Below are 12,269 nucleotides of genomic sequence, written 5' to 3'. Positions count from 1 at the left end.
CTTAAGTGTGTCTTTCCTTTCCAGAAGTAGTGATTGTGTTTTCTTTATGCTATCTATTTATCTGGAGAGTTTTCCATCCATATCTTGTATTTTTAAAAAATATTTTTAAGTTGATTTTCACCTTTCCCTGGTGCCTCCTTGAGTAGCTTAATAATCAACCTTCTAAATTCTTTCTCTGCCAATTCAGAGATTTCTTCTTGGTTTGGATCCATTGCTGAAGAGCTAGTGTGATCTTTTAGGGGTGTATAGAATCTCGTTTGGTCATATTACCAGAATTACTATTCTAGTTCGTTCTCATTTGGGTAGACTGTTTCGGTGAAAATTTCTGGAACTCAAGGGCTGCTGTTCAGATTCTTTTGTCCATGAATTGATTCCTTTATGTGGTACTCTCTCCCTTGCCCTAGTGATGGGGCTTCCTGAGAGCCAGACTGCAGTGATTGTTATTGTCATTCTGGGTCTAGCTACCTAACAGGGCTACCAAGCTCCAGGCTGGTGCTGGGGAGTGTTTGCAGGGTCCTGTGATGGTATTCATCTTCAGGTCTCCCAGCCATGGATACCAGCACCTGCTGCAATGGAGGTGGCAGGCAAGTGAAGTGGACTCTGTGGGAATCCTTGGTTGCAGTTTTGTTTAGTGCACTGGCTGAAGTTTTCTTTAGTGCACTGGTTGTGGTTTTGTTTAGTGCACTGGTTTTCTCAAATGCTAGCAATGAAGTTGTCATGTGGACAGACTCAGGACCTCTGGTTAGTCAGTGTGTTGAAGGTGGTGAAATTGGCTATTGTTTTTTCCTTCTTTGGAGCAGAGTTATTCTGTTATGAGTTACTGTAGTGGCTTGAGTTAGTTGGCCTCCAGCCAGGAGATGGCGCCTTCGTGAGAGTATCAGTTGTAGTAGCAGAAGGAGGATATAATCCTGCCCTACATTGACCAAGATAAGTACTGGGTTTCTCAGGTGATGGGCAGTGCCATAGAGCTTTCAAGAGTTTATGTCTTTTGTCTTCAGCTACCAGGGAAGATAGAGAAAAACCATCAGGTGGAGGAAGGGTTTCATATAGTCTTTGAAATCTGCCTGGTACACAGTAAGTGTAGCTCAACTTATTGCCTGCTCATTTTCTAAGGACTGCTATTCCCCTTCAGTCTACCTAGTAACAGGGCAACAATGTGCATAAAATGTGATTCTTTTCACCTTGCCACACTTGATTTGTCCAAAGTTAAATATTTTACCCAAACTAGGAAATCAGTATTTACCTGAAAATATAAACTTGTATTATTAATAATACATTTTAGCTCCACTCTAACTGCTCTTTTAGAAAATCAGGAACTTGAAGGATCTTTTTAAGTGGCTTAGGAAGCAGAAAGGGTTGGGCTAGACCGAGATCACAACAAGAATATATATCTGGGTAATAATAGGAGTGGATAATAAGAGATTAGGAGAGAAGAGTTCTCAAATTATGTATGACCCTTTGGCTCTGGATTTCAGTGTATTTCTTCCTGAAGTTCAGCTGTATTCCTATTCTTGAGTTCCTTTATCCTCATATTAAATGACCTCTTCTTCTCGTTAAGGTAGCTTAAAAGGTTTTCCAATAGAACTATACTAGAAATCAAATGTTTCTTTCTATCCTCTTACTATTACTTTATCTTGAATACAAAGCTGTGACTCTGAGTCAAAATTTTCTCCAAGATCTTTCAACCCACATACCAAATAATCAAATTCAAACTGATTTATCAAATGAGAAATTCCTGTCCTATTTGTGAAGCCAGTTCCTTGTGTTATTTCATGAAATTAAAGCCTAATCACCTTCACTGAAAATTAATTTCCATGTAAAATATTTTATATATTTTATACTCATGGATTTTTAAAAGTTAAAAACTATACCATTATTAAATTACTTGGAAAATTATATATATACGTGTGTGTGTGTGTGTGTGTGTATATATGTATATATATATATATATATATATATATATATATATATATACCTGTATCTATATATGTCTTTCTCTTAATATGCACACACACACATTTTCTATCCTAGGCTAGACTTTCAACCAATTTTGTGTGAATTTTAATGTTCATAGCAAAAACAGGCTTTTTTTTTCCACTTAAGGAGTTACAGTCTTACCTTTTAAAATTTCCCAATAGAGTTTCACAGAATAAAAATGATTCTTTTATAGAAGAAAAAAATGCCTTTCCCCTTTCATTTTTATCTGTACTATAAATGTCTATTTAGTTCCCATGGAAATGCAAACTCAAGTTTAGAATATCTATGTGCATGTGTTTGTATATGTGTATGAGAAAAAGCATGCATGATAAAACCCCCAGTCATGAAGACTAAAACGCTGTTTCTGATGATAAGATCAAATGAGTTTGGCAAGAAGATCCTTTTGTACTCCATGGAACAAGCTCAAAGGGCTATGGGTGGTAAAGATGTAGCAGAGTAAAGAAAGGTTCTCCAGGAAACATGTGGCATGTTTGAATTATTTTAATGCATTTTATGAAGTTTTCATTGTGTGAAAAATTATATGTGATTTCCTTTACCAGAAGCCTCAAAAATGATGACATAAGGTAGAACAAGGCAGGGCCAAGCTGAAGTCTGGCTTAGGTATCTAAAGGCTCAAGCTGAGCCAGGGATACTGCTCAGATACCAGAACTGTAATATGCAGACCGTGTTCCAGCCCTAGGGGACTAACTGTGATTGTTCTGCAATCTTTAAAAACCCCAGGGATTCCACAGCCATAGAATCCTGGCCTTTTTCCCTACCGGAATGCTAACACTTAAAGAGTCTTCCTAGATAAAACTCTACCTGTTATTTCTTTCACTTCTTTCAGAAACAGATAGCACAGCTAAATTCAGACACTAAGCTCCAGCCAGGGTCAAAGAGCAATTCATGTTATCAAGTAAGACACTCTGCATGTGTTGACAAGAATGTCATTGATGCAGATGAGGATGCTATCTAGTATTTTTGTTTTGTTCCCACAATACTTTTATTCATCAAAATTCGGAGGTATTAATTTGGTAAAAAGTTCCAAATAAGAAAACATGCCAACTTTAATGCAATTGTTCTTGATACCATCATTTTATCTTCATGAAAACAAACAGAATATTGCTGTCTTCGAATTTTTAAAGACCAAAAAGATTATTGCTTTGTCTAAAACAATAATGTTGTATAAAATCATAAAAATCTTAGAGATAACAGGTCATGTAATCAAAATAATCTTTCTAAAATAGATATATTTATCGACTTTCTTAATTAATGACATTGAACTTTGATTTTCCCACATTCACTATCAGAGAATTTAGCAAGTAGAAAAGCACTTCATTTATTGATGGCTAATTTTAACAGAGAATTTCCCCTTAGAGTGAGCTGTCCTTATTTTCTGCATAATCAAGTATGTGTCACTTTCACTTGACTATCACAAATTGTTACAGCACCATCAATGAACTTAATCGTCCCAAGTACTTAAAATCAGTTAAGCACTGCATTTTCATGTCAAGAAATGAAGAAAAATTAAACCTCTAGCTTTTGGTTATCATCCTTGTATGTTTATACTTTGAGCACCAGTGCATCCCAACAGAGAGCAATGATAGATAAAAATTGATCAGACAAAATTTAGAAGACATTGCCTTTTCTAAAGGTAAGCATCCCAAGAAGCAATGTGGCAAATGGTGCTGAAGCCATGAGCCCATTTCCAGTGCCTCTCCAGAGAGATGGAGACAAACAAATAAATAGACCAAACTAGAAAAACTGTAGTCACATGCATAGGAGAAAGGAACAGATGTCAAGCTCACTGACTAAAGCTAGAGGCTGGTACAGACTATTTTCACCCACCTTGCCCTATCACATGAAAGACAAGTAAAGAGAAATGACCAAGGCTCTAGTTATCCTTCAAGATCCATCAAAGCTCAAATGGATTTTCATATGCCTTTACTGCCTCTAAAGAACCTCCCACTCCCTTTTTGTGTCTTACTACATTCTGCACAAACATCCAGCACAGCACCTGCAACAGGATTGGGTCCACCGGTCAGCAGGTTTAGCAGCCTCAAACAGGTGGTAAGAGCTACTGGATGGTAGACATCATGTCTTATTAAACTCTGGATAGGCTGTAGCATAGTTCCCAACACAGGAGGTAACCAATTTATATTACTGGAGGAAGGAAGGAAAAAGGGAGAACATTCTCTCATTGCAAGACGCGTACTTCCTCTTTATGAGCAGCAACTTTCTCCCAGATAGTAATTCACCTTCATTGGCTTGAACTTTGTAGTTCTTTCTGTCCCTCTGGTTTTGAAATCTTATCTCTCAGAGCCTAACCTATGAAAGCGCAAAATGCAATCAGGTTCAGTGAGTAGATGCACTTCAGAAGCAAGGCGAAATCGTTCATTATAGCTTGTTTTATGACTCTGCTTTATGGTTTACAGTGGCAAAAGAGTGAAAGAATGATGCAACACATGGTATATAACCATTATCATTGAAGCAATTTAAATTGCTTTCTGTGAGTACACTGTCACTGATCTAATTCTTACTAAATGTTAAGTAGGTTTCTGTGCTAAAAATATATTGAGCTGAAACAGTGGATTAAGAATGATGTTGTTCTAAAATCCCATCTTGTAATTTTCATTTAATGGGTCTAAATTCCTTGAAGTCTCAGACTTTAAAATTGACTTGCAGAGATCTTAAGTTATGGCTCTGAATCCCTTTGGAGGAGGTGCTTATGAATATTAACTGTACTTTAGGATGCACTGTGTTGGTACAAGACTCATTTGAGCACAGAATTAGTGAGAGGTGAATGATGAATAATAGGCTCAGTGTGTGGAGTTTAAATATTCCAAAGAACAGACTCTGTATGATATTGTAAAATGTCTTGTAGCTTCATTTCTGATTTTGAAATGTTACAGTGCTTGCTTATTGTCACAGCATGATCTTCAGCACAGTTGGATAGTGCTTTTTTAAAGTAATGCAAGTGCATGAATGTCAGAAATACCTTCAAATATCGGGGACTACATCTTTAAGGAGTGCATTTGGCATTAAGCAGCCTTTTCCAGCTAATGAATTTCTCAAGTTACAAGAATAATGGCCTTTTTAATCTTAGCAAGAGTAATTAAACAGACATTTGTTATTAATGATGTTGTTAATGGCAGAAGATATTGAATTCTCACTTTAGATATTATATTGCTTGAGAGTGATTATTTTGAATATCAGACATATGAGTGTATAGTAGTGTTAAAAGTACAATATCTCCTTAAGAACATTGTAAAGTACTATTCTTTAACATAGAGAAAAATGCCTTAACTTTTATTAATACCAAGAGAAGTAAACATTTCCAAACTGAGGCCGAACACACTTTCAGGGACAAAGAGCATTTGTTTGATTAATCCTACATATCAATTGAAAGTTGTTTTCTTCTATTGAAATATTTATGTGTGTTTCAGTCAGGGTCTCCAAAGAAACAGAACTAGGGTAACATAGTTATGTAACAGGAAATTTATTATGGGAAATGGCTCATGCAGTTATGGAGGCTGGTAAGTCCTACAATATGCCATGTGCAAGCTGAAGAATTAGGAAAGCTAGTGTGTAATTCAGTTCAAGTACAAAGGGCTGAGGATAAGGGAAACCATTGGTATAAGTCCAAGTCAAAGTCCAAAGGCTGGAGAACTAGGAGCTCCATTGCCCAAGGGCAGGAGAAGATGGATGTCCCATTTCAGGAAGAGAAAGTGAATTCACTCTTCATCTGCCTTTTTGTTCTATTTGAGGCATTAAAGGATTGGATGATACCTGCCCACATTGGTGAAGCAATCTTCTTTATTCAGTCTACTAATTCAAATGCCAATTTCATCTGGAAACACCCTGACAGGCATACATAGAAATGATGCTTGACCAGCTAGATGGGCATCCCTTAGCCCAGTTATGTTGACACACAAAAAAATTAACCATCACAATGTGGCAGCCCACAGCTTGAGAGAGAACTGCTTACACTATGTCTGCTTTAAAATAGAGAGGGAGATGATATTGCCTAGTGTATTTCTCCTTCCTGATAGTTTCCTCAATTCTGCTCAGAAATCCACCCTATCCTCACCTTCAGAAGGTCATCCTAATTACTCAGTTCATTCATTTGTTCAACAAATACTTACTGTGTACCAATTATGACCAGGCACTATTTTATGTGCTGGGGTTATAGCTGTAAAAACAGCACAGAACAAAATAAAACAAAACAAAAATATCACAAATAACAAAAGCAAATATACCAGAAGTCAAAAATTCCTATGTATTATGAATGGGGTTAATGAGTTAGTCAAGACAGAGCCAATCAGGCTGCAGTATCCCCAGTGACTCTTATGGTCCAGTGCCAGCAGTGGCGTATGGGCCATATTGCCTCAATCACACCAGAGAGGAGAGATTTTATTTCTGCTTGGAGGAAAGAAATGCTTGCTCTGTCCCCTTCTAAACTAGTGGCCCAGTTGCCACTGGCATCCATATTGTGGTTCTGAGGGAAACTCAGCTTAAGGTGAATCAAAACCTAAGGACAACTATGGGAGTTTCTACTTCCTGCGCTAAAGAATCTGAACAGATATAAATTGTTTTATTAAAATTAAACACTTTTGTAACATAAATGTATGGCTATGCTCTTTATTGTAAGCATATGAGTTAGGGCTTGATCTTAATGGGATTGAGGGCAAATAAAAGATGCTTTGTGAATTTGAGGATCAGAGTAAAGGGCATACTTACAGCAGACATTGAGGAAGCTGCAAGGATTAGTTAGCATGTACTGATGGGAGTCATGGGATTGGATTTTGAGGATGTTTGATCAAGAGAGCTGGAACATAAGACTGCATGAGCAAGAGTTCATTTACTTAAGGGCATTTTATCTGCACATGGGATTTAACACCCTGCCAAGGATCCCAGAGAAAAGGGAAAACTTATTGTTAGAATAACTCTCAGGGGTAGCAGTCACAAAGCTGGTATCTTCACAAGCTCATGGGAATGATGAGGCTCTGAAGAAATGGAGCTGATGTGTCATCATTTAAGCATTAAAAGCCAGGGGATTACTATTATTTTAAGAATTGGCAAAGTCCAAGGAACAGCCAAGAAGGCTGTCCACAGGGCAGTTTGGTGGCTAATAGAACATGGTACTCCTAGGTCAAAAATAGACAGATATTTTGTGTGTTACTTAACATACACAATAAAAAGAAGACAAGGACAGATGAGCAGGCATTTGAGGGTGGTTGCCCCAAAAGGAAGTCACATTGTCTTGTCCAGTTTCAAGACCTGAGTCAGTTTTTTGACACAGAATCCAATAACTGATGTGATGGCTAGATCCCCCAGAGAACACGTGGTATTACAATGTCATGTATTTACTGTATGATTCCTCTGATATTTCCCCAAATGGATCTATGAGTATTTACATTGGTGCCCATACACTGGAGAAAGAGGAATGCCAGATATTCTCAGAGCTGTTGCACATAGGGTCTCAACTGACAATACCTGGAGATCTGAAGCATTATCATGTCCCTGTTCAAGTTCAGGGAATACATGGGCCAAATAATCAATGGAGTCTTGGGTAAATTCTTAGAGTACGTTCACCCAAATGTCATTTCTTCAATTCCCAAGTGTAAAATTGAAATACTCAGCAGTTGGAATAACCCCAGTTGAATTTTTGGCCTGTGGAGTAAGAGCTATCAGAGAATGCCAAGTAGAAGCTTTTGGGATTGCCTCCTCTTTCAACCAAGAGAGTAAATAAAAAATAGTATTGACTCTGGGAGGGATAGAAGAGATTAGAATCACCCTCAAGAACCTTAAGGATGCAGGAGTGGTGCTCTCTATCATTTCTCTATTTAATTCACAAGTCTAGTCCCTACAGAAACCAAATAGAATGTCTATAGACTACTATAAACTCAACCAAGTAATATTCTTGATTGCAGCTGCTGTGTTGGACGTAATATCTTTGCTAGAATAGATTAATGAATTCTTGGGCATATGGCATGAGGCTTTGAGACAGCAAACTCATTCTTTTTATTGCAATTAGAATAAAAGAATCTGAAATAATTTGCATTCACAAGGAAAGGACAATAGTATACACTTAATATTTTGCCCTAGGTATATGTTAATGCTTCAACTCTCTCACATAAGATAGTCAGAAAAGATCTGGACCATCTAGACATCCCACAGAGCATCATATTGATCTATTAAATTGATGATACCATGCTGATAAAAAAGAATGAGCAAGAGGTGGCTAGGATGCTGGAGGTTTTGGTAAGACACATGTGTCCCAGGGGTTGGGAGATACACCTTTTGAAGATTCAGGGACCCGACACTTTTGTAGTTTTTAGGGGTTCAGTGGTCAAGTGCATGCCAGGTTTTTCATCTAAAATAAAAGACAAATTGGTGCATGTATCCTCTACTAAAAAAGAAGGTATAACATTTGGTAAGCCTCTTTGCATTTTGGAGGTAATATCTTCCATACTTAGACATATTGTTTCAGCGGATATCCTAAATGATACAAAAGACTTATAGCTTTGTGTGGGGCCTGGAACAGGAAAGGGCTATGTGGCAGATTCAGACGCAAGGCAAGCAAATGTTTTCTTTGGGTATGCTATCTAGCAGATCCTATGATGCTGGAGGTGTCAGTGGTGGGAAAAGGTACAGTGTAAAACTTATGTCAAGCCCATTGGGAGAATCATCCCAAAGGCTCTAGGGTTCTAGAGAACCAAAGGCTCTAGGGTTATAGAGAAAGGCTATGCCATCAACAGAGGGGTAGCATCTGCCTCATGATGTTACTAGACCCTTGTAGAGACTCATATGAGCTGGGTTCTGTTGGATCCCTCAAGGCATTGAGTGAAACCAGCATCAGTTGATCATAATAAATGATTAATTTGCATTGACCCTGAGCAGACAAGTGAGGATGAGAAATCTGCATGAGCAGGTAGCTTAGACGTCATTGACTTTTCACGTCAGCCACAGGGTTGCACCAGCAGCTTTCCTCAGCTCACATCTATGACCATAGGGGCAATGCAGGTGTCCTTCATGACTGCTGAAGAAGCAGAACAAGTCCAAGCTTAACTTACAGATGGGTTGGTTCAGTATATGGGTCAAACCAAAAATAGACGTGGTTGCTTTATAAGCTACACTCAGACAATGGTGAGAGAAATCTTTCCAATGTCAGAGTTTCAAGTGGTACAGCTATTTTGTGTGGAAGAAGTAGCTTGAAGTGAGAATATATACAGAGTCATGAGCAATTCAAATAACCTGGCTGGCTTCTCAGGGGCCTGGAAAACTGAAGATAGGAATGTCTGAGGTAGAAGCATGTGGATGAACACATGGGAGTGGGCACAAAGTGTGAAGAGCTTTCTATGGCTTGTGAATACCCACCAGAAAGCATTATTGTAGAAAAATCACGGAACTACAAAGTAGGTAAGAATGACTTGGTTGGTAGACATTAGTCTGCCTTTGTCATAAGCCACCCCAGAACTGGCTTAATGAACACATGACTAGAAAGGACTCAGCAGCAGAGATGGAAGGTTCACATAAGCCCAACAGCATGACTCTCATTTGCCAAGGCTGAGACTCAGCATTGATCAGCTATCGTCAATGCTGAGTCTCTGAAAATGTTTCTCTTCCTTAACGAGACCAACCACCCACTGGTAGCAAGTTGACTACATTTGGCCTCACTCTGTCCTAGAAGGCCCAGCTGTTTTTCTCACAGAAATAGATGTGTTTTGAACATGAGTTTCTCTTTCTTATGATATTTAAGATATTCAAACACCTGAGTTTGTCTTTCTAAATAATATTTGAGACACCACCATCCAGAGACATTCAGAGTGCTTTACCCACAGGCATGGAATCCCATAGTGCATAGAGTCCCCCAGCAAAACACACTTCACAGTTAAAGAAGTGTAGGAGCAGGACAACGACCATGGGATCTACTGAGTACACTAAATACCACAACATGGAAAGGCTACCAGATGAACAGAGTGTTAGAATGGCCTGACTAATGCATATGAATGCCCTGGTGAAGGGTAATGCTCTGGAAGGATATGGCACATTGCTCCAAGATGTAGTATATTCTGCAAATCAGATACCGCTCTATGGCATTGTGTCTGATGGAGAAATTCATGGGTCTAGGAACCAAGGTTTGGATGCAGAAGTAGTCCCACTTGCCGTCATTTCCAATGACCTGTTGGGGGACTTTGCATTCCCTGTCCTTTCCACTCTGGGCTCTCTAGGGTAGAGATCCTGGTTCCTAAGTATAGCACACCCTCCTTAGTGACACAGCATGGATATCATTGAGATCCAATCTCTGGCTATTGCTTGAGCACTTTGGATGTCCTGTATCCAGGACCCAACAGGTTAGAAGAGTAATTACTATGTTACAGGAGTGATTGACTTGAATAGCAGGAGCAGGCAGGACTACTGTTATTCAATGAGGGAGACCAGAATACACTCAGTTGATCTATTTGGACATTTCCTGGCATGTTCCTTTGTGTAATTATGGCTGTGAATGCATAAATGTAGCAACTCCAGCCTGAGAAAAGGGTGGTCATCAGGGCCCAGATCCTTTAAGAATGAAAGTTTTGTGTCATTCCACCAATTAAGATACCATTCCAGGAGAGGGGATCCATGAGGGCAAGGGGAAATTAGAATGGATAGTGAAGGAAGGAGATAGTGAATACCACTTATGGCCTAGAGATAACCTCAGGGATGGGAAATACAGTTTTTTTTGGAAACCTCCCTTTTCTAAGTTTCTCTTCAGGAAGTGAGGCCCACTGGAACCCTGGAGTAGCTGCATCTGGACAAATGAAGAAGTGAATCCATGTGACACAGGGTGAACAACAGCACCCACGGGTGTATATCACTCCGATTATCCTGCAAAGAAAAGAGTTGGCAATCAGCTGTTTCACTGTCTGAATTAAGAATTATAAGGTCACAGCTAGCAGGGAAAAACAGGGGGTATGATGTTGACTTTATCTGCCTTTTCGGATCCATGGAAGGCCCTGGATTATCTCTGTGGCCCCAGAAAAAAAGAAAAAAAAAACAAACCCAGGACACTACGCATCCAACAGCTCTGCCTGTGTGGCCTAATTCCTTGAGCAGAGGCTTATGGCTTACACTGTTACAGTTGAAAGAACAGTTCTGGGCATGGAGAAGGTACCAAATGTGTATATGCCATATTGATAGAACTAAAGTATAGAGGATGAAGAAGAAATTGCCTAGAAGAGGAAATTACCTTTAACATTTCAATAAATGACTCTGAGCTGTTGTTTAGGAATTCTTGTTACAAATATGAATTCAGTAGTGGAGTGATTTGGCATTCTCAATGAGTAGAGTTCTTTCAAACCAGAGATTCAATGGGAAATTATTTTTCAGTGGAAAGGAAGCACTTTGTTGAGCATGCCTGGGAGCAGTTCCCATAGTGACATGTGATAGAATGTGCTTCCTTTGGCTTTTAAATCTTTATGTCTCTTGGAAAAAAAATTTTTGAGCAGAGCTTAAAAAAATCCACCAAGCTCTAGAGAATAGGGTTTATAGGCAGCTAAATTATGTGACTTTTTGAATCTATGGGTTCAAGCTTTCCTGCCTTTGTAGCTTCCAGCTGACACCTTCCAAGGGGCAATGATCTGTACTGCATTTTCTCATCAGAGAACTCAGCCATCTTAATTTTAGGGTCATTTGGAATCACATGAGTTAACCTGATTTTTTTTTTCATTTTCCAAAATATCATAAATAGTGGGGTTTTTTTTTTTTCATTTTTTTAGAAGGGAAAAAAATCTGGCTTCAGTTGCTAATTTCCTCTGTTCTGTCAAGATTAGGCTAGTAGTTCTGAGTAATTCTGGCTCATTTTCTCAAGGGACTAGGCCTGAAATAATCCAGTGTTTATTTTTATACAAATTCTCACAGTAATACAACATTTCAGTGACTTCCTGGGATGTTTCTAGTTTTTCACAGGCCAAGAGGCCATTCTCAGAGGTAGCTCCTTCATGTAAACCTAAAAATGGCACTTTCCCACATTATAGTTTATCAGGAAGTTTAAAGTTCAATAGTCCTCCTCTCTTTTCTTTCTCGTCACAGGGAAAGGAAAAAATAAGGGGCAGTTCCAGCATTTCGGCATGGTCATTCCATTTCAGTACTTTGGAACCTGGGAAAGAGGAGGGAGTTTGTAGTATATCTTGGCTGCGAGATGGCTGGACTGGGAAACAGGACTCTCTGCCATTCCCTGTGTCACTCTCTGAGTGACCCTGACCTCTTCCCAGCATTCCTGACCCCACCTCTGTGTTGGGGAAAAT

At 39.0% G+C, this 12,269-nt stretch overlaps 2 annotated features.

Moving 5' to 3' along the window:
• Positions 2,427-2,984: an enhancer, noted in NCBI's record as "NANOG hESC enhancer chr5:89294234-89294791 (GRCh37/hg19 assembly coordinates)". NCBI's record gives its function as "activates a minimal SCP1, AML or CMV promoter by ChIP-STARR-seq in primed H9 embryonic stem cells {active_cell/tissue: H9 hESC(primed)}" and the evidence as "EXISTENCE:reporter gene assay evidence [ECO:0000049][PMID:30033119]".
• Positions 9,671-9,750: an enhancer, noted in NCBI's record as "active region_22774". NCBI's record gives its function as "activates an Ori minimal core promoter by ATAC-STARR-seq in GM12878 lymphoblastoid cells {active_cell/tissue: GM12878}" and the evidence as "EXISTENCE:reporter gene assay evidence [ECO:0000049][PMID:35858748]".

The sequence above is a fragment of the Homo sapiens genome, chromosome 5 (assembly GCF_000001405.40).
Source record: "Homo sapiens chromosome 5, GRCh38.p14 Primary Assembly".
Lineage (NCBI taxonomy): Eukaryota > Metazoa > Chordata > Mammalia > Primates > Hominidae > Homo > Homo sapiens.
This window is presented reverse-complemented; position numbering and strand designations above follow the sequence as displayed.